Source organism: Homo sapiens, chromosome 17 (assembly GCF_000001405.40).
Source record: "Homo sapiens chromosome 17, GRCh38.p14 Primary Assembly".
NCBI classification, from domain to species: Eukaryota; Metazoa; Chordata; class Mammalia; order Primates; family Hominidae; genus Homo; species Homo sapiens.
The window spans coordinates 37,513,525-37,540,199 of record NC_000017.11 but is presented as its reverse complement, the minus strand read 5'-3'; the positions used below and the strand labels follow the sequence as shown (position 1 = coordinate 37,540,199).

Genomic DNA, 26,675 nt, shown 5'->3' with positions numbered 1-26,675 from the left:
CCCAGGTGTGGCACCCACTGAAACTAATCAGTGACCCTAAAACCAAAACTATTCATGGGACTTCACAAGGATGGCAGTGTTTGTATAATTCTTCTTGAGCACTTAGACTTTATTGTCTTCATGAAACCTCAAAATAGAGGAGACAGGGAAAATATTCTGAATTTTTTATTTCTGTCTGCTGCATCTTAGTGCCACGCTATGTTCCTCCTATGGTCAACACACTTAATTTCCCACCTTTCCCTACTCCTTGTTACATGTGCACATGGGCCACGTCCTCACACACAGCCACACAGCGTTATAACTGGGGCGTGGAAAGCCAGTGGCTTAATAGCAGTTTCTGTACCAGATAGCTACATGCTGAGTGCCTCCGAAGAAAGGCTTACACTGTTACTGATGGAACAAATGAGGCAACACTCACAGGGGGAAGCTGCTGGAAAGCATGTCCCTTAGACTCACAGGTCCTGTGCTCAGAAGTTACATTTATTAGTAATTTAACATAGTTATTAGTGAGTTCAAAAAGATAAACTGCGGCTGGGCATGGTGGCTCATGCCTGTAATCTCAGCACTTTGGAAGGCCAAGTCGGGCAGATCACTCGAGCTCAGGAGTTCAAGACAAGCCTGAGCAACATGGTGAAACCCCACCTCTACCAAAAATACAAAAATTAGCCTCATGTGGTGGTGCGTGCCTGTAGTCCCAGCTGCTCTGGAGGCTGAGGTGGGAGGATTGCTTGCGTCCAGTGCAGTGAGCAGAAATCATGCCACTGCACTTCAGCCTGGGCAACAGAGCAAGACCCTATCTCAAAACAAAAACAAAAACAAAAAAAACATAAACTGCTTGAACTAGAGTGATCGTAATAAAAAGGAAAGTCCTCCAAGCACTTTGAATTGACAGAGTCATCAATAGAAGATTCCAGGTTTGTGTGTTTAACCCAGTTCTTTTTAACAAATTCACAGGAAAATGAGAGATATGCATATGAATGGCAGAGATGCCTGGGGAGTGCCCTGAATGTGAGTATGTCACTTACGCGTTCACACATATGTGAGTGCTCTTTTGTGCCTTTTTGCCTTCTTGGTTCATTTGAATTGACAGAGGCAAACTTCAGGAGAGCCTTACTTGGATGTCCCTGGGCAAAGAGTAACTCTGTGGAAGTCATGCATCTAAGGTGAGGCTTCTTTCACACTTACAATAGCAGACCGGCTCATGTGTCAGTCATCCCCTCATCTGTCATTGTGTTTAAGAAATAACAAAGTGATTTCATTAACTCTGACTAAATCAAAATAATATTTAAGCTAAAGAACCTGTCTTGGCTGGGTGCGGTGGCTCAACACCTATAATCCCAGCACTTTGGGAGGCCAAGGCGGGCGGATCACGAGGTCAGGAGTTTGAGACCAGCCTGACCAACATGGTGAAACCCTGTCTCTACTAAAAATGCAAAAATTAGCCAGGCGTGGTGGCACGTGCCTGTAATCTCAGCTACTCAGGAAACTGAGGCAGGAGAATCACTTGAACCCGGGAGTCAGGGGTTCAGTGAGCCGAGATCTTGCCACTGCACTCCAACCTGTGCTACAGAGCGAGACTCCGTCTCAAAACAAAGCAAAACAAAACAAAAGGAAAAAAACATATTTTCTCTTCCAGAGAAATGGAGGATTGTTTCTTCAAGGATAAAATGAGATTTTTTGACACCTCCTGGCTTTTCGGTTGGGTTTTCTACTAATAGTAAATTGATTTGCAATGACTTTTCTCAGTTATGTAAGGTGATGTGATTTCATTTCTTGTAGGTCATTAAGAAGGCAAATGATACCTTAAATGGAATCAGTAGTAGTTCTGTTTGCACAGAAGTAATTCAGTCAGCTCAAGGCATGGAATATTTATTAGGTATGTTCTTTCATATTTTACTATTGAAAATGATGGCCCTTTGCATTATTTTCAGTTTTCCCTTTAATTATTTTAAGCTAGATCTCTCAAGTTACATATGACTTCAGTAAGAAGCATCTGTATTTGTGGGTAAGACACTCAAGCTACAGGCAGTAAACTATTGGACTTAATTAAAAAGTCTCTATGGCTAAGTTTCCTCATCCTTGTTATATACGTAATAGCAAAAATGTAAAATTATATCTGTGTTACTGGTTTATCAAAGAATCTGAACTACCGATGCACTAAAGTAAAATCATCTTGTCTCCCATCAATTCCTTACCATACTCTATATTCTTTCTCTCGACCGCTTAATGACACCACAGAGTCCTTAACCTCCTGGCCATCTGCAGCAATTTGATGTGTCAGTCCAACGGGAAAGTGTAGTCTCTGTCCACTTCGGTGTTCCTCCCTTCCCCAAGCTCAGGCTTGGCCCGTGGCCAGAGCCACACATGCTGGACCCTAATCTTTTTCAAATCTTTACTCAAATGTCAGCTTCTGAGTGAAATCTTTCCTAGCATCCATCTCTCCAAAGAGTATCGTCTCTCCCTACCCCGGTACTTCCCATCCCATTCTCTGCTGGATTTTCTCCTTAGCCCTATTACCTTTAATTTCTTACATATGTTACTTATTATTCTTTTCTTTTCTTTTCTTTTTTAAGACAGGTTCACACTCTGTCACCCAGGTTGGAGTGTAGTGATGTAGTCATGACTCACTGCAGCGTCCACCTCCCAGGCGCAAGCAATCATCCCACCTCAGCCTCCCAAGTAGCTGGAACCACAGGTGTGCACCACCATGCACCCAGCTAATTTTTGTAGTTTTTGTAGAGACAGGTTTCCGCCATGTTGCCCAGGCTGGTCTCGAACTCCTGAGCTCAAGCGACCCACCCACCTTGGCCTCCCGAAGTGCTGGGATCACAGGCGTGAGCCACTGCACCTAGCTACTTGTTGTTTTTACTCTCTGTCTCCCTTCACTAGAATGAACCTCCAAGAAGGCAAGGATTTTGGTCTGTTTTGTTCACTGGTGTGTCCCCAACACCTAATCTAGTGTCTTGCACGTAGTTGGCACTCAAAAATATTTGCTGGATGAGTGGAGAGTGAAGGGATGTAGTCTCTGCCTTACTCCTGCCACCTCACTTGGGGTCTTCTTTTCCTGCTCAAACAGGCACAGTTCTGCATAAGCAGATGTCCACCAGGAAATGGGGCACCTGTCTTTTCTCCTAGTATCCTTGTATCTATGGAAGATTCTCTTAGAAGCCCCCTCACTTGGCTTAGGGTGGGCAGTAATTTCTGCCCCTCTCTTGGGAAAGGAAGAAGAAAAGCCGTAGTGCTGACACAGGGCTGCTGAGGCCCCGCTCTGAAGATCCCCTGGAATTCCTCCAGTGTTCACTTAGAGAGATCGGGGTCATGTCTTTGGTGACTGTTACATTGCAGGGGTTAGGGATGTGTCTGGTGGCTGTCCTTAGAATGTGGAGGTACTTAGCACCTCTCATCCTTGCTTCAAGAGTTCAACCACAATTTAGAGACCATAGGAAAAGAACTGTTCTGCATCCTGTTATGTGTTTAAAGATAAGTGAAGTCAAAGTGTTTGTAAGACCTTCAGATTCAGAGGGGTGAGATGTTTCTTCATTACTTTGTGATGCTATTAACATTTAGATTCTTTTAAATTTTTACTATCCCCATTTTCAGCTAGTTTATTGGGATTTCCCAGATTCAAACAGATGGACTCATAAATAAACCTCCCAAAAAACAAAAGCTAATAACTTGCATAGTGCCTGCCATTCTCCAAGCACTGTTGTAAGCCTTTTACCATATTACCCTATTTAATCCTCTCAACCATCCTTGGAGGAGCTACTGTTACCATCCCAACTTCACAGATGAGGAAACTGAGGTACAGAGAGATTATGTGACTTGCCTAAGGTCATGTAGCCAGTAAGAGGCATAGCTGGGGTTTGAACCCAAGCAGTGCAGCTTCTATGCTCTTACCAGTAAGCTATACAGCAGCATTGAGAAGTGGATTGGTCCCAAAGAATAGTAAGTACACCTCTGTCCAGATACACCCATTGTTTCTCACAGATATCAGCAAGCAATAATGCTCCCCTGTCTGGGTCCTCTGTGTCTCCACTGCCAACACTCTCTCTCTGCTCTCTCATCCCGTCAGGTGTTGTTGAAGTGTACAGGGTAACCAAGCGTGTGGAGCTGGGGATAAAAGCCACTGCAGTGTGCAGTGAGAAACTCCAGCAGTTGCTGAAGGACATCGATAAAGTATGGAATAACCTAATCGGCTTCATGTCACTCGCCACACTCACAGTAAGCCCATGAGACAACTCAGCAGTTGCTTTCCTTTCCAGAAACCTAAGTTGTAAAGCAGAGTGTATATTCCTATGATGGTACTTATTAGAGGCTGGAGGTGCCAACTGGAGCATGTTATATTAAAGGAGGGAGATCACAGGTGTGTGGTCAGTTGAACAGTACCAGGTGGGCTTCTGATCTCTCTAAGGCCCAGTGAACCTAAGGAAAAAACCAGTACAGGAAAACATTCACTCTGGCTACACCTTTCTTAATTCACATAATACACGGAAGTTTTGCAAAGCAGTGGTTTGAGATACTCCCTTTGCACTTCTAGTTATTTATGTCCCCATACGTGTCCTTTCAAAAAGCTATATGATACCTCATGTTGCCATCCTGTAGTTTGTTTAGCCCTTCTTTTTTTAGGTTCTTGGGTCATTTTCATTTTTCCCTGTTACGAGTAGTTCTCTGAATAGACAAATCACTGTTCCTTTGTGGGGATGTATTTCCTCCAAGTGAACTAGGAGGTCAGTGTGTGTGTCTGCACAGGTGCATGCATGCGTATGTAGCTGTTGTTACATTTATTAGAAGGCTTTCCAAATAGCTTATATTGGTTGCAATGCTACCAGAAATATGTAAGTACATGGATACATTTCTCTACATTATGTCCTATCAATTTCTTAATTTAACAAGCATGCAATTATTCCCTAAGGTATTTTTTACATTTTTTTTTTTAATTTCATGAGAGGCTTTGCAGTGTTCCAAATGACAATTTACTATTTCTGTTTCCTTTGTGTATAAACGGATTGGACTCTTCTGACCATTTGACCATTTATTCCTTGGAATATGGTTATTGACCTTATATATTTCATATTTGTAATAGATTTATATACATATATATAAGCTTGTAAACGTTTATCAGCTATTTTCCTCCTCTATTACTGTCCCTTTTTTACATTTCATTGGGCAAAACTATTTTATTTTTATATATTCATACCTATTCAATTTGTCTCTGATGATATCCTTTATTTCACAATAGTCAGAAGTTTATCTTCCTTCCACAGCTGGAATAAATATGCTATTCCAATTTTTTTTTTAACATGGAACTCTGCGACCCATCTGAATGGGATTGCAGCTGTGTGGGAGGAAGCAGTTCTAATTTTCTGAACTGATAGCCAGGTGGATACCCAGCTACCCCAACTACATGTCTTCAGCAGCACATCCTCTCACCATTGTCATGTTGCTTCTGGTTTGTAATATTAAAGTCTTTAAGAGTTTAAGTAATTTCCAAAACTTTTTCTTGTTCCCTTGAATCACTTCTCATTTTCTAACCTAAAATTGTATGTAGATAATTAAAAAAAAAAATACTGTTCTGGCAAGTGAAATAAGAAATGGAGTATTAATATTTGAAAAAAGAGATAAAATTATGTTTACTTGGTGATAATGAAATTCTTTTAAAAATCTAAATTCAAGCAGCCAGGTGCAGTGGCTCACCCCTGTCATGCCAGCACTTTGGGGAGGCTGAGGTGGGCGGATCACCTGAGCCCAGGAGTTTGAGACCAGCCTGAGCAACATGTCAAAACTCCGTCTCTACCAAAAATACAAAAATTAACCAGTCTCATAACCCGGTCTATAGATAGATAGATAGATAAAAAAATATTTTTTAATCTAAATTCAGGAGTTTAAATGTATTGCATTTGGCAAAAATTCATAACAATCCTACATATTATTAGTAGTTAGAAAATATGATGAAATTAGGCTGGGCATGGTGGCTCATGCCTGAATCCCAGCACTTTGGGAGGCCAAGGCGGGCAGAACAATTGAGGCCAGGAGTTCGAGACCAGCCTGGCCAAAATGGTGAAACCCCATCTCTACTAAAAATACAAAAAAAAAAAAAATTAGCTGGCCATGGTAGCGGGTGCCTGTAATCCCCACTACTCAGGAGGCTGAGGCAGGAGAATTGCTTGAACCCGGGAAATGGAGGTTGTAGTAAGCTGAGATCGTGCCACTGCATTCCAGCCTAGGTGACAGAGCAAGACTCTGTCTCAAAAAAAAAAAAAAAAAAAAAAAAAAGAAAAGAAAATGAAGTTTAGAAACCTTATTTTTTTTGTTAGAAAATATAACGAAGGCCTTAGTGGCTGATGCCTGTAATCCCAGCACTTTGGGAGGCCGAGGTGGGTGGATCACCTGAGGTCGGGAGTTCGAAACCAGCCTGACCAACCCCGTCTGTACTAAAAATACAAAATTAGCTGGGTGTGGTGGTGCATGCCTGTAATCCCAGCTACTTGGGAGGCTGTGGCAGGAGAATTGCTTGAACCCAGGAGTCGGAGGTTGCAGTGAGCTGAGATCACACCACTGCCCTCCAGCCTGGGCAACAGGAGTGAATCTCTGTCTCAAAAAAAAAAAAAAAAGAAAAAGAAAAGAAAGAAAATATAATGAAATTAGAAATCTTTTTTAAAAAAATTATTAACTAATTCAAGCCCTTATCACTTTTGAACTTCTGACCTCATAGCTAGGGTTACTGGTTCCATTTTTTTTTTAATCTCCTAGCAATCTATTCTGCACACCTCTACCAGACTGTTTTGTTTTTTTTTTTCCCCAGACAGAGTCTCACTCTGTCACCCAGGCTGGAGGGAAGTGGTGTGATCTCGGCTCACTGCAACCTCCACCTCCTGGGTTCAAGCGATTCTCACGCCTCAGCCTACTGAGTAGCTGGGATTACAGGCATGCGCCACCACGCCCAGCTAATTTTTATATTTTTGGTAGAGACGGGGTCTCGCCATTTTGGCCAGGCTGGTCTCAAACTCCTGGCCTCAAGTGATCCACCCACCTTGGCCTCCCAAAAGTGTTGGGATTATAGGCATGAACCACTGTGCCTGGCCTTGATACGAATATCAGAAAGAAATTTCTTCTGTGGGTTCTCATAAAGAGGAAACTAATATAATCAACATTGCCTTCAAAAAAAAAGAGAAATCCTTTCAGTAAATAAAGCAACAGTTTTCATTGGGTAGTTTCTTATTACATTTCTCAATATAGGCCAAATGGCATAACTCCAAAGTATGAGTGGAAGTCATTTTAAGTGTGGAAAAAATAGATTAAATTGTAAACTAGGAGGTGTAGTAGTGCATACAGATGGCAGGCTCATGTCTTTGCTCTGTAAAGGAAGCATACAAATCAATGAGAAATATACCAACATCCCAGTAACGTATGAGCAAAAACGTGAAGTGATTCATAAAAGGGGAGGTACAATTAATCAGTAAACATAAATTCAAATTAAAACAAGGTTTCATTTTTTACCTACTAATTTTTTTTTTTTTTTTTTTTTTTTGAGACAGATCTCACTCTGTCACTCAGGCTGGAGTGCAATGGTGCAATCTCGGCTCACTGCAACCTCCGCCTCCCAGATTAAAGCAATTCTCATGCCTCAGCCTCCCAAGTAGTTGGGATTACAGGTGCGTGCCACCACGCCCAGCTAGTTTTTGTATTTTTAGTAGAGACAGGGTTTCACCCTGTTGGCCAGGCTGGTCTCGAACTCCTGGCCTCAAGTAATTCACCCACCTCTGCCTCCCAAAGTGCTAGAGGCATTACAGGTATGAGCCACCATGCCCGGCCTGCCTACTAATTAAGCCCAATTTTTGTATGGTCTGTTTGTATGAATACTAATAGTGTTGATGTGGTAAAATGTGGACTACATACTGTAGGATGGAATCACCTATGGAAAGAGAAGTTTGGCACCATGCTTTCTCCCTGACTGTGAACTTCTTGAAGACAGAGATCAAGACTGTGTTTTTCATCTTTTCTTCTTTATCTGAGCACAGTGCCAGGCACTATGTAAACATTCAGTAAACACTCAGTAAACGTTGAATGAATTAAAGGACTTAATATGCATTCAGAGTAGCTGACTCAGTAATTCCAAATCTGAGAAAATATCCTAAGGCAGCGATTCTAAATATGAATTCACAGAAAGAAGCAAATTAAGTGCACAAAGTTGTTCTTTGTAAACGTGAAAAATTAGAGACAACCTGAAAGTCCAAATCTAGAGGATTGGTTAAGTAAATTGTGGTGAATCTTTAGCCCAGGATCTTACGCAGCCATTTTGTAAAGGAGCACGAAGTTTGAATGACACAGAAGTGTTACTACAGGGCTTGAAGGAAATCTGCCAAAATGATATTAGGGATGTGTCTGGGTGATGAGACACTGGATTTTTTTTTTTTTCTTTTTTAGACAGGGTCTCCCTCTGTCACCCATGCTGGAGCACAATGACGTGATCACAGTTCACAGCAGCCTTGACCTCCTGGGCTCTAGCAATTCTCCCACCTCAGCCTCCTGAGTAGCTGGGACCACAGGTGCACACCACCAAGCCCAGCCAATGTTTTTGTATTTTTTGTAAAGACAGGGTTTTGCCATGTTGCTCAGGCTGGTCTCAAACTCCGTGGGCTCAAGGAATCCATTCACCTCGGCCTCCCAAAGTACTGGGATTACAGGCATGAGCCACTGTGTCCAGCCAAAACACTGGATTTTTAAATATTCTTTTAGTTTTTTCATTTTTTTCAACTTTCTTTCAATAGCATTTGTTGCATTTATAATGGAAAAACAAGTGTTTTTACTCTGGTAGGAGAAATGTGTCATTACCCTCCATTCACTTGCACAAACCCTCCCTGTAGATAGCCCTTGTTACCCTTGCCCACTTCTCCTTTCCGTTGTAGTGATAGATTATGAAGTTCTCAAAACTGAATTTTATTTATTTACCTGTTTGTTCATTGTTTAGAGACAGGGTCTCACACTGTCACCCAGGCTGGAGTGCAGTGGCACAATCACGGCTCACTACAGCCTTGAACTCCCAGGCTCAAGTGATCCTTCCATCTCAACCTCCCACAGCTGGGACTACAGGCATGCACCACCATGCCTGGCTTGGTAGGAATAGGGCCTCACTATGTTGCCCAGGCTTGTCTCAAACTCTTGACCTCAAGCAGTCTTCTTACCTCAACCTCCCAAAGGGCTGGGATTACAGGTGTGAGCCACCACGCCCAGACTACTTTAGGGACTTTAATTGCAGTAAATCTGCATGGCAACCTGACATCTTTACCCTGCCGTCATCCTTTCCTGAAGCAGAGGAGAATCATGCCCAAGCTACCAGACATTTTTTGTCCTGACAGTCCACCTGACTAAGGAGGACTATAGTACCACACATCACTGCCCCTAAAAGGCAGCTGAATCAGAATATTGCGAACAGAAGCTGGGGAGAAGGAATGGGGGTAGTTTACTACTTATCCTCTATTTCTCTATTTACATTCAGAGAGGCAGAATTCTTGGGGTCTGAATGAGAGTCTTCCAGTTCTGTCCTTAATGGATTGGTTAACTGTTATGATGACTAATCCAAGGAACTTGGGAGAAAAAGCACGTGTTTACTGCAGTCCTCCAATTTTCTTTGAGCTTCTGGAATTCAGTTCATTATCCTCTGGATCAGAGAAATGCATTAAACTCTGCATTTACTTCCTGAGCTCCAGCTACTAATGAAATTGATTCGCTAGTGATATGTGCCGAGGGTGCCTGTGAAGCTGTGGGGTAGAGAAGGATGTGTCACCATTTGTGAACCTGGAGATCAGTATGTGTCTGTGTCTTTCCTAATTCACCCACCTGCTGCTTCCTGACCTTGTCCTAATATGGAGCAGATTAAGCCTGAATATCATCATAGGAGTAGATACTTCTGTTCTCCCCGTTTACAGATGAAGAAACTGAAGCACAGAGATACTGGTGAGGCCTGGGTTTATTCTGAAAGTCAGAAGTCAACTTTCTCAACCTCTATTCCTTGTGGCCTCCTTCAGAGGGACAGGTTGGGTGGGTAAAACCAGACAGGTACTAAAGTTTTTGTCGGGGGGAGTGGGTCGATTTTGGCATCAAGGTTAATGAGTTCAAACACCAGGAGTCTTTTCTGGCAGCAACTTGTTATAAACAGTCGAGTTCTTTTCTGCACATTGCTCTTGTACATATATATACCAGGACTGTAGAGTAACTTAAAAGCCTCCTTCTTTACATTTAGATTTTAAGGTTCTTTGTTTGGGTGGCAATCGGTTCTTACTGCAGTTAACACTTGAAAACTAGATTTCTATACAACCCCCAAATCAGCCACCCATCTCTTCTCTCCTAGTGCTGCTGGGAAAAGATGACTGTGATTACAAAGCATCTCTCTCCTTACCATGAGCTCTTAGAAGAAAAGGTATCACAGAGACCAGGCGTACTTGCCAAGCTTGTGAATTTGGGGGAAAGGATAAGTGGGGAGATTCCTGGGTTGCTGCTGTGCGTTTACTTCTTGAGGTAGCTCCTCTCACCAGGTGAAGTGCAAGCCAGTTTCATTTTTGTACCTTTTCCCAAGCTCCTGTGGCTACAAGCTTGCTACAGCTGCACCTTCTAGACTCTGAACACCCCTCCACACCTTTTCTTTTCTTTTTTTTTTTTTTTTTGTAAAATATATATACATGTACAATAAAATGCGAAAATCTTGGTTGTACCACTCAATGAGTTTTGAAAAATGCATACCCTCATATAACCCATGCCTCTATCAAGATATAGACTACTCCATCATTCCAGAAGTTTTCTTATGCACCTTCCCAATCATCACCCTACTCAGATATAATCCCTGGTGTGATTGTTTTTTTATACCAAGGATCAGTTTTATCCAGACCTTTTTAAAGAGACCTTGGAATTTGATTTTGTTATTTTGAAGAAAGCCTATTGGGTTTGGGGCCCATCTAACCTGGAGCGTTGCCCTGTTCACATACGGTGGCGCTTACTCCTTTAGTGTAAACAAATATGAGGTAAATGGAGAAAAGGGCTGGGCATTTATGCCCTTCCCTCAGACTCCCATTCCAAGCATCCTTTTCTAGCATCAGTGTCTAGATGCTAAAGAGTGGTTTTACCTAACTTTTGTTTTTCAAGACACCAGGTAAGGTTATAGAGATGAATTAATCTTCCAACTTGACAACACAGGAATGTATTGTAAATTGAACCTGAACACCAGAGTATTCATTTCTCTAATTACCCATGTGCTTTCCGTTATAATTGCTTTTTTCACTAGGTTAGCCATGACAGAACAACAATCATTCTTTGCCCAGATTATACCATGTCATTGTACCCTTGATAACTGCTAGGTGTGTCCTCTGTCTGTGAAACTTGAGTTGCCCACTACATGAGGAATAGCACACATTCCACAGAAATAGTGTAAGGTGTTACTTGTCATGAAGAAGCCTTTACTCTAGCAGAACTGATAAGAATAGCTGCATAAATGTAAATGACATAAACCAACATCTATGTAGTTCAAATCATTTGTAACAAAACTATACAAACTTCCAGGACTCTGGATTAGACGCTCAAAGTGGAGAAATCATTATTAGAAAGAGGCATGATTGAGGTTTTATGGGAAGCTTTTAATGCTTAACACTATTGCTTCATTTCAGGTAAATGACTTCCTAAATGAACTATATTGCCACAGTGAGGCCCTTTGATTCCATACTACTACTATTACTATTACTATTATTACTACTACTACTGGTTACCATTTATTAATATTTTGCACCTAGGGCCTGCCGATCCTTGTGCTATATGCTTTACATTCATTCTAATTTAATCCTGGTAACCCCATGTAATCACATGATGAGTCCTTATAAGGGGAAGGTAGGAGGGGAAGAGTGGGAGAAAGTGATGTGACAACAGAAGTAGACAGAAGAAGAGAGTGGCAGATGCTACCTGCTGGCTTTGAGATAGGACCACGAGCCAAGAAGTGCAGAGGCCATCTCTAGAAGCTAGATTATATTCTAGATGTATAATTTTCAGTTTTACAGGTGAAGAAATTAGGGCTTTGAGAAGATGAAACTTGACTGAAACTGACAAGTCTGTGATTTGAATCTGTATCATTTCAGAGTCCATTCTTCTTCCTACTCTATGTTACTTCCAGCTTTTAAGTTACTGAAAATGACTTATTTCTTCCCATGAAGACTCTGTGAGGCTGTTCCTATCGGAAGACAGCTGCATCACTTTCTCCAGTGAAAGTCACAGAATGTAGTGCGGCATCACAGTAGTCATGCTTGGGCTAAGGAAGGCAGGGTACACCGTCTTAAACTCCAAATTGTGGCTCCTTGATGTTTATTTAAGCTGGAAATGACACAGTCATTCCCCTGTCCATGGGGGGGGAATTGGTTCCAGGACATCCCCCATTTCTGGATATAAAAATCTGCAGACGTTCGAGTTCCTGATAAGAAATGGCATAGGATTTGCATATAACCTATGCACATCCTCCTGTGTATTTTAAAGAATCTCTAGATTACTTATAACACCTAATACAATGTAAATGCTGCGTAAATAGTTATTATATGTATTGGATTTTTTTATTTGTATCATTTTTGTTTTTTTCTATTTTTTCCTCCGAATATTTTTGATCTGAGGTTGGTTGAACCCACAGATGTGGAACCCATGGATACCGAGGGCTGACTGTACTGGCAAAGCTTTATGCTCTCTTTCTCTTTGATACTCTTTATCCATGGACTAAGACTCCCTCTTGTGGTAGAAGCATGTCTCCTCCAGGCACAGACTGAAGGCCTGCTTCTTTCTCAAGAGGTGAAACTCACCTGGTTTAGTGAGATGTGATGCACTCTGAGATTGGCTCCCAAGTGACTTGTCATCTAAGGTTTTATCTTGTGAAGTGGGTTGAAGTTCAGTAGGTTTGGAACAAACAGAGAATTCTGTCCTGGAAAATTAATCGATTTTTGCCATATAAAATCTAAGAGAAGAGAAAAGGTTGTTATTCGCCTGAATTTTAGTCAACTGGCAATCATACAGGCTCTCTGATTCCACTGTTCACCTCAGTGAAATATGAATTCTTTACTACTTCCTTTCAATGTGAAATTGACCAGTGAATTTCAGAGTCCTTATTTCCTATTGCTGTGACATATCAGGAGAACAGTTTATTTTCAATGGTGATAGCATTTTTGTCATCTTGCCAGTCTGCACAATGTTTTAGAGACAGGATCTTTACTATGTCTCTGCATGGCTGTCCTCAGTTGACAGAAGGCAGCTGTGGTAGACAGAATGATGGCCCCCTCAAAGCTACCCATGTCCTGGGAACTTGTCAATATGTTACCTTTGCAAATGGGATTAAGTTAAAGGCCTTTCTTTGGGGAAGGTATCCTGGATTATCCAGGTGACCCCAATGTCATCACATGGATCCTTAGAAGGGGAAGGTAGGAGGGGAAGAGTGAGAAAAAGTGATGTGACAACAGAAGCAGAGAGAAGAAGAGAGTGGCAGATGCTACCTGCTGGCTTTGAAGATGGGACCACAAGTCAGGGAATGTAGAGGTCGTCCCTAGAAGCTAGAAAAGGCAAGGAAACAGATTTTCCCCTAGAACTCCTAGAAGGAATGCAGTCCTTCTCACCCATTTTAGACTTCTGAAATCCACAACTGTAAGAGGATACATTTATGTTGTTTTAAGCCATTAAGTTTGTGCTTTGTTACAGCAGCAATAGGAAAGATTATACAAGACATTGTAACCAAGCAAATACCAAAACTTTATAATTGCCTATGGAACCTGTGTCTAGATCACCCTTTGTATCAGTCAAATTAGACTAGGTTATGCTTCAGTAACAAATAGTTTCTTCTATCTTAGCAAAAGCAAAGCTTTATTTCTTGCTCAGGCTATGTGTCCATCTCAAGTTGGTGGGGGGCTCTGTGCCATGTCCTTACCCAGGGACCCAGGTTGACAGAGCCTCCACCATGTGGAACATAGCTGGTCACCGTGGGAGTGTCAAGGAAACATGAGAAATAGCACATTGGTCTTAAAGGCTTCTTCCCAGAGGTGACACTCTTTTTTTTTTTTTGAGATGGCATCTTCCTCTGTTGCCCAGGCTGGAGTGCAGTGGTGCAATCTCAGCTCACTGCAGCCTCCATCTCTTGGGTTCAAGCTATTCTCCTACCTCAGCTTCCCAAATAGCTGGGATTACAGGCACCCGCCACCACGTCCGGCCAATTGTTTTGTTTTGTTTTTGAGACGGAGTCTCGCTCTGTTGCCCAGGCTGGAGTGCAATGGCGCGATCTTGGCTCACTTCAACCTCCACCTCCTGGGTTCAAGCAATTCTCCTGCCTCAGCCTCCTGAATAGCTGGGATTACAGGCAAGCGCCACCACACCTGGCTAATTTTTGTATTTTTAGTAGAGACGGGGTTTCACCATGTTGGCCAGGCTGGTCTCCAAAGCCTGACCTCGTGATCCGCCCGCCTTGGCCTCCCAAAGTGCTGAGATTACAGGTGTGAGCCACCGCTCCCGGCATTTTTTTGTATTTTTAGTAGAGACGGGGCTTTGCCATGTTGGCCAGGCTGGTCTTGAACTCCTGACCTCAGGTGATCCACCCACCTCGGCCTCCCAAAGTGCTGGGGTTACAGGTGTGAGCCACCATACTCCCGGCTTACGTGTGACTTTTGCTTAGTTATTGACTGTGGCAAGTTACAGGCCAATGCCTGATTGAAAAAGGGGCAGGGAAGGCCCATCCTACCATTCCATAAAAAGGAGAAAGATTATTGGTGAAGAACACTAATTACTACCAAACTCTTCTTCCTTAATAAGGATCTTCCTGGACACCATTGTAGCAGTTTATTGTAGGCTAAAGATTCAGGATTATATATCTCAGTCTGACATTGGGACTTATCAGTGTCAGTAGGCCATATATAATATGTATATATTTTTTTAAATCTTAACTAAATGCATGAAATACTTGCCAAATAAGGAGATGATCAATTTAAGGTGACTTGTAGAGGGCATACCTTCTTATATGATGACAGCCAAACTGTTATCTTATATGATTGGTGCCAAACTGTTAATATTACACTACAATAAACACCCTGTTTATACATGTGTACTTAAGAAGGTTAATTTTGTCAGCTGAAAGAGTAATTTGATCACAGGGTCATTTATGCAGAGCCTTATGGTTTTCATTGGCGATTACAGTATGATCTTTTCATTTGCTTTCCTTATGCCTTTGGTAAACAGATATTAAGGGGCTTCTATTAATTTGATTGATTTCAGGATTCAGAGTTTTCCCAGATTCTAATTATTTCTCAAATAGCCCTGATTCAGTAACATGATGACTATCTGTAATGTGGATTACAGAGATGATACTATGTTTTAACCTCTTTTAAAAGCTTGCTAAGAGTTCGTCAAAGTGAATAATTGTGATCATCATATAGACTACTTTTCACTTCCAGAGCATGTTTTATGTCCATCTGAGATATATAGAAATGGGAGAGAGGTGTAGGGCAAGTGAAATAGTTACCATTTTACAGATGACTGACTGCAGAACAAGCGTTAGCACCAGCGTCTTCCACATTTGACCAGAGTGACCACAGTTGCACTACAAAAGAAAAGAGAGAAAAGAAAAAATATCCTATGACTTGGCTAAGGCCATGTAAGTTTACTTTGATCACCTACACCAGAGTCCTTTTGCACACAGTTGAAACATACACCTCACCTTTTCTTCTCTGAAAACCGTGTGTTCTTCCTTCCCCTGCTGTGATCTCAGTGGATCTAGCTCAAATGTGTTTAAGAAAGATTTGTGGAGCTAGTTCATGGTTTATTATTTCAAATTAGAAAGGAACAGGGAACATCATACATAATCTACACATTTTTATAAGGAGAAATCTTTTTTTTTCCTGGTGAGGAAAAATACAGATCATATAATTTTGCTTTGTTGCTCAAAAACGACGTGGAAACTCCTCAGTGGTTCAGACTGGAAGAACTATGGGAAATGTAGCTGTTAATTTGGCAGGAATTTGCCATCATCCTGGGTCACCTCAGTATCCATGAAGACAAACCAACTGCCATGCCAGGCTCCCAGATGCTTGACTGCCTGGCCCACAGAGCCCTCGCTTCCCCTGCACTTCAGCCACCCACTGGCATCACCACGATGGGCTGTGTTAGCAAACATTGTGCAGCGCCTGTGCAGTCTCGAGCCCCGACATCGAACTTCCTGAGTCCAGATTGGCGACCCTCCCGTTGTCTCACTCTTCACTGGCACTGCTCTTGTTTTTGGTTCTCAAGACAGGATGTTGTCTCTTTTACTGTGTTCCTGTCAGCCCTCTTCTGTCTTCACTTCTTTTCTCACCTCCTTACTCTCCACAGTGCATGGGGCATCCCTCCTCACTCCCTTCAGTCATACTCATTAGACCAAACCCAACTGGAATCAGTGCAGCCATCCACCTTCTCCCCCCACCTTGACCCACTGTGTGCTGGTGGAGACAATCACACCTCCAGAGTTTGCTGCTTGGAGCTCACAAGGCTACTGCTATTTCAGACACAGCTGATGATCTCACCTCCTGCATTAGAGTGAGGATGAGCCCTCTGAGAGGAACTCCTCAACTTCTAGGCTCCCACCTGAGATTCCATTCTGTCGCACTAGTGTGTTAAATCCAGTTCTTACTGGCTTGCAAGAGTGGATTGTTAAATGTTCAGGAATTTTATGAGCCAGTTGTTAAACACCGTTATTACTAAAAATTAAATGAAGACTGGGTGCAGTGGCTCATGCCTCTAATTCCAACACTTTGGAAAGCTGAGGTGGGAGGATTGCTTGAGGCCAGAAGTTCTAGACCAGCCTGGGCAACATAGCGAGACCTCATCTCTACTAAAAATAAAAAGTAGCCAGGTGTAGTGGCACACACCTGTAGTCCCAGCTACTCAGGAGGCTGAGGCAAAAGGATTGCTTGATCCCAAGAGTTTGAGGCTGCAGTGAGCCATGATCACACACGCCCCTGCACTCCACCCTGGGTGACAGAGTGAGATTCTATCTCAAAAGCAAGACAAAACACAAATGATATAAACTTGCAGTTACATATATTATATTAAAAATAGTGGTAATACTTAAAACATTCTAGTTCTTAAATTTTACTCTTGTCTAGCTTTCAGGGTTATTTATGTCTATCACAGGGCAACCAACTGTCCCTGTTTGGTCAGGACTGAGGGATGTCCTCAGTGCTAAAAAGTGATGGAGAAAATGTTATTAGTGCAGATTAAACTTAAAAGTGTGTGGCCAGGCACGGTGGCTCACACCTGTAATCCCAGCACTTTGGGAGGCCAAGGTGGACAGATCACGAGGTCAGGAGTTCAAGACCAGCCTGGCCAATATGGTGAAACCCCGTCTCTACTCAAAATACAAAAATTAGCCAGGTGTGGTGGTGCACGCCTATAGTCCCAGCTACTTGGGAGGCTGAGGCAGAAGCATCCCTTGAACCCAGGAGGTGGAGCTTGCAGTGAGCCGAGATTGCGCCACTGCACTCCAGCCTGGGCTACAGAGCAAGACTCCACCTCAAAAAAAAAAAAAAAAAAAAAGTGTTAGCTGGGCATGGTGGTGCACACCTGTAGTCCCAGCTACTCAGGAGGCTGAGGCGGGAGGATTGCTTGAGCCCAGGAGGCGGAGGCTGCAGTGAGCCAAGATGACACCACCACACTCCAGCCTGGGCAACAGAGTGAGACCCTGTCTCAAAATAAATAAATAAAAATAAAAGTGTGCTGCGGGGCCGGGCACAGTGGCTCATGCCTGTAAACCCACCACTTTGGGAGGACCACTTGAGCCCAGGAGTTCAGGATCAGCCTGGGCAACATAGGGAGATAATCATCTTTACAAAAAAATCAAAAAATTAGCTGGGCGTGGTGGCATGCACATGTGGCCCCAGCTATTTGAGAGGCTGAGGATCTCTTGAGCCCAGGAATTCAAGGCTGCAGTGAGCTGTGATCACGCCACTGTACTCCAGCCTGAGCAACAGAGTGACTGGACGGCTTTCCAAGATTGAGACCTACCCTTTTAACCATTGTGTGTGTGTGTGTGTGTGTGTAGTGAATTAGATAATGCATATAAAGAGCTTAGTATAGTGCTTGAAAGTAAGGGCGTATTAGCTGTTGTTCTATTTATGGTCTTTAGCTGGTGACCTTCAGATCTCTCCACAAGCAGGAGGCCTGTATGTGTATCCAACCACCTGCTTATATAGCATGTGGCCTTCGCTGTCCCACAGGCAGCTCCAGCTCAGCTTGGACCAAACTGAACTCTTCTCCTCAGCTTCCATCCTCAAACCTGGTCCTTCTCTCACGTGTCTTATTATGGTGAATCCTCTCAGCTGCCCGGGTCCCCCAACCTCTCCCATCCAGCAGGTCACCCAGGCCTGCTCATTCTCCTGCCTCGTCAGCTCTTTCACGTGCCCATTTCTCTCCATTCCCCACCGCCGCTGCCTTCATTCTGACCATCGGTATCTGTCTCCAGGACTGCTACAGCAGACTTCTGGCTGAGGCCTGTGCCCTGAGGATTGCCACCCCCAATTCATTGCCTATACTGTAGCGAGAGGGATCTGTCAGTAATACGAACCTGGGCCTGTCGTGATCCAGTTGGAAGCCTTAGTGGCTTCCAGGATGCTCCTTATCTTCCTTGGAGTCCTCGTGCTGCGGCTTCATCTCCTCTTTCCCTGGGCCCTGCCCCCACCCTCTAGATTCCTTCCCATACCCCATCTTTAGCTCAGAGCCTTTGCCTGTGCTGCTTGTTCTGCATAGAATATCCTTCCCTCCCCTACCTCACCCAACCCTCCTGTCCCCCTCACCTAGCAGCTCCCATCTACACTCAGCCAAGGTGATTTTAGAATCTAGGAAGCAGGCCAGGCACGGTGGCTTATGCCTGTAATCCCACCACTTTGGGAGGCTGAGGCGGGTGGATCACCTGCAATCAGGAGTTCAAGACCAGCCTGACCAACATGGTGAAGCCCTGTCTCTACTAAAAATACAAAATTAACCAGACGTGGTGGCGCGCCTGTAATCCCAGCTACTCAGAAGGCTGAGGCAGGAGAATCGCTTGAACCCGGGAGGCAGAGGTTGCCGTGAGCTGAGATCACACCATTGCACTCCAGCCTGGGCGACAGAGTGAGACTCTGTCTCCAAAAAAAAAAAAAAAAGAAAAGAAAAAGTTCTAGGACGCAGTCTCTGGCTTCAGGCCCCATCCTCCTCGAGTTGGGCTAAGTGCCGCTCCCTTGTGCCCTGGCACTCAGGACTTCCCCCAAGTAAGCACACCCAGCACTCATGGCACTGCACGGGCTCCCCTGGCGCCCACCTGAGACTGAGTTCTCAGAGGTCAGAGGGCGTGTTGTACTGGTGCCGGCCTTCCTAGCACCTGGAACCGTGGCAGGTTCCCAGTGGATGTGTGGGAGGTTAATTCTTGTAGTGGTGGTGTTAGAGTACTGTACTTGCCGCTAGGCCTGCTGGGGGTGAGTGATGAGGGAGTGAAGTGAACAGCGTGTGGACTTGTGGACTTCTTACCCATTTGTCTTGTCGTCCTCACAGCCAGATGAAAACTCGCTGGATTTTTCCTCCTGTATGTTACGGCCTGGGATTAAAAATGCTCAGGAGCTTGCCTGTGGAGTGTGCCTCTTGAATGTGGACTCGAGGAGCCGGGTAAGTCACGCAGCCTCCTTGCAGACAGCAAAGGGCTTCCCTAACATGACTCTGGACAACCTCATCTGGCCCACTTTACTGCAGAGTTTGTGACCAGAGGTGGGGATTTTCTCAAGTCCTAAAAGCTGATGGTAGGAGCAGACACATTCCCTCGAGAGGGCAGCGGGGGAGCTGTGGAGGGAATGGACGCGGCTCTCATGCCTGCAGCACCCTGTGCATAGTGGGGAGGTCAGGGGAAAAGGGTGAACCTGTAAAGATGTGTTTGGAGGCAAGAGGCCCTGTTCTGGGAATGTTGTTGACCTGTGGTTTCAACGTTATTTCAGAAAGAAGAGAAGCCTGCAGAAGAACATCCTAAAAAAGTATGAACCAGTTACACCTTATCTTAGCGTCTCCATTTTAATTTTGAGTGTGGAGGGCAAATTGGATGATTCTATCCATTGCCATCCTGAACTGTTCCAATCATGAATCCTTCACTGAGTCAGTTTTGTTCCCATAATGTTTGATGGAGTCTCCTAATGTGTCTGTGTGGGTCCACTTCTGTCTTATTTGCATGCTTGTTTCACATAATTGGCTTCTGGTGTTGCAGTTATTTTTCTCTGTGATGAATGGGGTGACAGAATGAGCAACTTCTGGAAGCCTGGAAGTTGTAGTGACACACAGATGGAGATCAAAGAGCTTCAGGATGTAGCCATTTAGCCATTTTAACAGACAAGCAGCAAATTGGGTTTTAGAGTTTTGTTTATTTGCAGTGCATATTAGAAAACTAACCCCAGGAAGTGGTTGAGGTTTGGACTCTACTTTTCCATGGCTGACTGTAGCTTACTGATAAGCCTGTTCATCTGGAAATAATTCTTATGTGTTTAATGCCCATTCATTTCGAGGCATTTTTTTTTAACTCCATACCTGTTTGGACTTTTTGATAATGTAGATTCATTAGGCATTAGGGTCAATGCCATTAGACCCTAAGAGTTGTTATCTGTCGTTCTCTAACTCTCTCGTTTTCTAACTCTCTCGTTCTCTAACTCTCTTGTAATTTTTTGTCATGATAGGCTTGTGGTCAGCTACAGGAGTGTAAAGGATTGCATGCTGTAGTCAGATGCCGGCCTTAGGAGGAGGGCTTCCTTCAGCACAGTGAGGGATGAAAGCTATCCACAGCCCTTGGCTACTTCAGTTCCCCTTATCATGATTCCCCCCCTCCACCCCATAACCTCTGTCTGCCTTTTCCATGGAAGATTTGGCCACCTTTTGCTGAAACTAGGTTTAGTGGTAACAATTTTATACCTTTAATTAGCAGTAAAAAACCTTCTCTCTTGAATTCCTGTAGCTATCCGCTCAGCTTTTATGTGTGTGCCATTTTGGCCTCAGCCTCTGTGACCTGGAGAGATAGATGTACATGTTGGTTGCTGAAAAGCTCTGAGATGCAGAAAAAGCCTGACTTGCCCCACATCTCTGTTTATTTCTGGCAGGCATTCAACTCAGAAACAGACAGTTTCAAGCTGGCCTATGGAGGGCACCAGTATCACGCCAGCTGTGCCAACTTCTGGATCAACTGTGTCGAACCAAAGCCTCCTGGCCTCGTCCTGCCTGACCTGCTCTGAACAACTCCTCTGTGAAGCATTGACTTTTTTTTTTCTGTGACACCCCACGGGGTGACAGGGACCAATAAATAGAATGCGAGCACTGCACAGTTCGCTTCCCTGAATCGATATGAAGAACACCGCAAGGGACGGGGCCCCCGTCATCCCCACGGCCAGTCTGCAGGACTTCAGGTAAAATTGTCCCACCCAAACTGCACGTGGCACCAGAAGCTTGCTCACTTATCTCTACTTAAGATTTTCTGAAATACGGACCACGGCTTTCTTGATCTAAGGAAGAACTTGCTGCTGCAGTATTGAAACTGTGAAGAACTGACATTTGAAGAAAAATAGATTACCGTTGCGGGACTAGAATGGGCGACTGCTTGGAGCCAGTGCTTGTTTTTATCTAGGACACTTACTGTCCTGTGAAGTAGAATACATTTATCTGCATTTAGTTTGTTAATGTCTGAAATGAATAAAAAGAGGAAATTGCGATTAAACTGATGTTCTGCTTTTTATGGAGAAGATTCTGCCCATCTCCCCTGGACAGTAGCAGGCAGGTGAGGGCAGATTTTACCCACTTGGTTGTCACAACTGAACCAGTTCTCTACTCCTTCCCTTCACTTCTGTCCACTCTCAAGACTTTTTCCCAAAACATGCCTGGGCACTCTGCAGCCGTGAAGAATGCTCATTTTGACAGAGGCCCAAATCCTGTGTATTAGGATAATATCCTTCCCCCCGGGAGCCTTCGCTGCAAACCTGTTCTGCCGCATGCAAAGACTGTGACCATGGAGTTTTCTCAGACAAGATTTGGAAAGGCAGTGGAATGAAATCTCTTTGCAGTGGCCTCTCTCCAAATTTCCAAAGATGACTGCATAGGGACCAACACTGCCTGACTTTGCAGTATCTGTGAGAAAAACCTGAAAATTAATTCAGGGTGAAAATGTGGAGCTCTCGGCCTAGTGTAAAGTATCAAGATGTATATTTATGGGATAGATACATGACTTAGAAGAAGTAGAAGAAAATTGTCCAGAAACAGTACTGAATTTTAGATAGAAAAGGCTCATGCTTCCTGGAGTAGGGAATTGTCTTTGCCATTTAATGTGAATGCATAAAATTAGGGGAAAAACCCAAGTGGCTAAGAGCTGTGTTATTCCTGGGAAGAACTACCAATCTAGGGCACACGTCTCTCTGAATTGTTGATTATGCGCTTTATGAAGAGATTTTTCAATCTCGTGTGCTTTACTTTGTGTGGTTTAGACCCTCTGACCTAGACTTTTATTTTTAAACTGAAAAAGTTGGTCTTGTCTATATAATTGCTGCTTTTACATAATTTATTTTCCCCTCTCAGGACAAATTCTGTCTTGCTCCATCTTACAGCTTTTCCATGTTCTCCAAGAAAGGTGTGGAACATTTTCATTAAACAGCTGTTGCTGAGGCTTCTGCTTGACCTTCTGCGTGCCCGAATGCACAGAGAGGCACCGAGGAGAGAAAGGCTTTTCTCACTCGCTCCCGATGATACCGTCTCTGGCCATTCCTGACTGAGGCAGCTCACTCTGAATGGGCACCTTTGGAGCTTTTGCCCACCACAAGGCTAGTGGGGTGTTTCTAACAACACAAGTGGGACAGCTTTTGGCAGGCTTTTCCTGAGGCCTCGGCGCTTCCATCCTGGACAGCACCACTTCCACATGGAGCTGGAATGCAAGCAGGCTGCTAATTGGCCTTAAAAATTCTTTGTTTTTTTTTGAGATGGAGTTTCACTCTTGTTGCCCAGGCTTGAGTGCAATGGCACAATCTCAGCTCAGTGCAACCTCCGCCTCCCGGGTTCAAGCGATTCTCCTGCCTCAGCCTCGTGAGTAGCTGGGATTACAGGCGTGCACCACCACGCCCAGCTAATTTTGTATTTTTAGTAGAGGCAAGGTTTCTCCATGTTGGCCAGGCTTGAACTCCGGACCTCAGGCGATCCGCCCGCCTCAGCCTCCCAAAGTACCGGGATTACAGGCGTGAGCCACTGCGCCTGGCCTAAATTTCATAACAGAACCATGACAGCAGAATCTACCTTTGCAATAAGAATGTTTCCCAGGAGTTAGAGACCAGCCCTGGGCATGATGGTAAAGACCCCAGCTAATTATACAAAAAATAATTAGCCGGGTAGGTGGAGTGCATCTGTGGACATTCGTGGTCCCAGCTACTAGGTAAGCTGAGGCGGGAGATCACAAGTCCAGGAGTTTGAGGCTGCACGTGACAGCGTAGGTGATGACAGAGCGAGACACTGTCTCTTAAAAAAAAAAAAAAAAAAGTTTCCCAGTTTGAATTTGTATTGCTGAAGCATTTTTTTGAAATGCTATATAGATGCCTGTCATGTCACAGTGGCCCAGTATCAACATTTTAAAAAGCTCACTTGGTAGCTGGGCTGGTTTCTATTCCTGAGAAATTCCAGAATGCCTCAGATAAAATTCCTTAGTATAATCCCCATTTTCCTTACCAAGGATGGTAGGCTTAGTCACTCCTTGGGAGGTGCCACAGGAAAATTCAGCAGATGTCAACAGAAAAAAAGCCTTTGCTATGAAAAGTATTCACTACCTTTCATATCTCTTGAATACTTGAAATGTTTAATTAGATGCCACCAATAGGGATCCAAGGAGTGTGGGACACGGTTGCGCTGCTTTTCTTTATAAACGTTTATTAAAATGGCTCAACGCTGCATTCAGCTTCACCTCAGCTCTTCTTGTCAGCCAGGAGCCCCGTGTCCTTGGAAACTGTAGCCAAGGTTACTTATTTCCATACTGTGCATTGTGTCAGCCCGCTTCACCCCACTGCTTGAATGGCCATTAATAAGCACTTTTCTTTTTTTGGTGGGATGTTTTGCCTTTAAAATTTTTATGGCTTAGTGTGTAATTTAATTTTTGTCTGGACATGCTTGAGATAGAAGAGGTACTGGATATATGAGGATATTTTCCATGCTTTATTTTTCCTGTGGCTACTAGTTAGCATTCCATAGGGGTTGTGAATTTTTAATTATTTGAATATTTTGTGTACATATACATATTTGAAGGGTTTTGGGGGGGTCTTATTTGTTTAAAGGTGTCTTCTGTTTGCCTATTTCAAGTGTACTTCAGCTTTGCAAAGATTATAGGGCTGTATGTTACAGAAATAGGAAATGCTGGCCCTGTACTGGGGACCACTACAAAAATTCCCTTTAGCCGGGCGTGGTGGCTCACGCCTGTAATCCCCAGCACTTTGGGAGGCCGAGCCGGGTGGATCACCCGAGGTCAGGAGTTCAAGACCAGCCTGGCCAACATGGCGAGACCCTGTCTCTACTAAAAATACAAAAATTAGCTGGGCATGGTGGCAGGTGCCTGTAATCCGAGCTACTCGGGAGGCTGAGGCAGGAGAATTGCTTGAACCAGAGAGGCGGAGGTTGCAGTGAGCCGAGATCGCGCCACTGCACTCCAGCCTGGGCAACAAGAGCGAAACTCTGTCTCAAAAATAAAAAATTCCCTTTAACACCTTCAAGGTCAAATGCCTGCCTTTGTGAACAGTTAATAAACTGACATTTTCAGACATTTGCCATTCAGAAGGGAGCATTGTAGCCTGCTGTAGACCATTCCAGCAAATGTCAGAATGCAGGGCAAGATGTGTGTCGACTATGTTTTTTATGTTTAAGTTACTTACTTATTTCTTCAGGTAAGTGTGTACCAAATAACAATACTGAAAAGCCCTCCCCTTGCCAGGCCGAGGAAATAAAGCTTAAGTGAAACAGCTCTTGGGGGAAAAATGCCACTTTACAAATACTTTTCTAACAAAATAGCATTATAATGAAGTTTTTACTTAATTCCATTATTTATATGTTGACGTGAATGTAAGTGGTTAAAAAGTATTCATGTGGGACATCTCATTACTTTGTAGCTGTGGCTTTATTAACCAGTGAATGCTGTGGCCCTTAGCGAAATGCGTTGTCTTCTGCGTGATGTGGAATTCGCGCCTGTATTTTAAAAGATGGTGTGGTTTCTCCCTTGTTTGTATTTTAATAAACAACTGCTCTAATTGATGTGTTTAGACATTATAAAGCTTTACCTTTAAAATATTTTCAGGGTCTGTTCTGAAATCACCCCTTGTTAAACTTCTCTAACCAAAATACAAGTGTAGAAGAATGTCAGGCTACTAAGCCTTTTCTTGGTCTTGTCTTTGTTGGGTTGATTTCACATAGATGCAAGTCACTAGGATGAACAGGGGCCCATGCGCTTAAGATTACAAAGGTGTTCAGCTTCCCACGTGCGAGGAACTCTTAGTTACAGCCCCGTAGTGCTGCTTGCCAGGAATTCTACAGGTAATTTTCATTAATTACCAAGAACATCTGTCACCAGGTGTCTTCTCGCCCTAGGACAATGGTTATTTGGGTGCTCTTATTCAGAAACTCCCAGACTCAAAGCTGAGCCTCCTACTAAAGCAGCCAGAGCCTCCCTGGATTTTTTTTTTTTTTTTTTTTTTTTGATCTTATAGCATTTGTTGTTTCCTCTGATTTCCCATAGAAACTATTAATAATTTTTTTCATTTTAGTTTTTCTAGAGAATAATGATGCATGTTTATAACAGTGGGCAGCCACGGGTATAAAGCAATAAAAGGTAGAATTTAGATGGGAAAAAACCATTGCCACAAACCAGGTAAAATGTGGAGTATATTTGTCTAAATATGTAGCTACTGGCCTATGTATGGCTTCCTGCCAAAACTGACCCAAAAAATCTAGAAAACTATTCCTCTGGTGAGCAAGCTACAACCTTCCTGATAAATGAAGCCAAAGAGCAGTGCCGCAGCGGGTTCCCATTGCACGGGCAGACGCCCAGGATGCCCTCCATGCAGAAGAAAGGCATGCCCTAGGACAGTGGTTACTTGGGGGCACGTGGAAAGTGCCCAGGAGTGTCCCAGGAGTGGGACAGGGGCGAGCTCATTCACCTTCTACCATGTATCTGATGATGATGAGCGGTGCTGCCCGTTTTATCAGGAGCAGTGAACTGGGTGACAGACAGTCCCAAAGTTAAACAAAGGCAGCCATTGTTTGTTTTTGTTACTTGCTTATCGCTCATACTGAGGTTTGGTTTAGGGCATTTTCGTATGTGGTAATAATAGTCAAGCAGAGGCACCTTTTATTGAAAACCAGTTTCTCTGATGGAGGACACGCTGCTTCGGGGCGCTCCACTAACCAAGAGGAAACCAAAACCAGCACCCCTGATCAGAGCGTGCACTATCAATCATCTCCCACCGGCCCAGCACCGGGGACGGTGTGTCTGCCTGTCCACCAGGATGTGACGCGCCGACAAGACTCTGCTGGGATGTGTATTTTAAGTAATGTTCCCAACTGGCACAGGAGCCACATTTCAGCAGTTAGTTAGTTAGTTACTGGAGAGCACCTTTTTCCCATCATCGACACACACACAC

General features: G+C 43.7%; 1 protein-coding gene across 52 annotated transcripts in view; it reads left to right on the top strand.

Annotated features, from left to right (window-relative positions):
* The window catches only part of SYNRG (synergin gamma), a 94,612-nt gene extending 69,219 nt beyond the window's left edge, over positions 1–25,393 (top strand). For 24 of the 52 annotated variants that reach the window (XM_047435247.1, XM_047435246.1, NM_001163545.3 and 21 more), the window contains 6 exons: positions 955–1,008; positions 1,780–1,876; positions 4,073–4,221; positions 19,552–19,662; positions 19,986–20,021; positions 21,129–25,393. In XM_047435247.1, the coding sequence (XP_047291203.1) occupies positions 955–1,008; positions 1,780–1,876; positions 4,073–4,221; positions 19,552–19,662; positions 19,986–20,021; positions 21,129–21,260 (579 nt within the window). In that variant the 3' untranslated portion in view covers positions 21,261–25,393. Of the gene's footprint in view, positions 1–954; positions 1,009–1,779; positions 1,877–4,072; positions 4,222–10,348; positions 10,418–19,551; positions 19,663–19,985; positions 20,022–21,128 lie in introns of all 52 variants that reach the window. The other 28 variants (XM_047435249.1, XM_017024102.1, XM_017024101.2 and 25 more) reach the window with 2 other exon arrangements.
* The last annotated feature ends 1,282 nt before the right edge of the window (positions 25,394–26,675 follow it).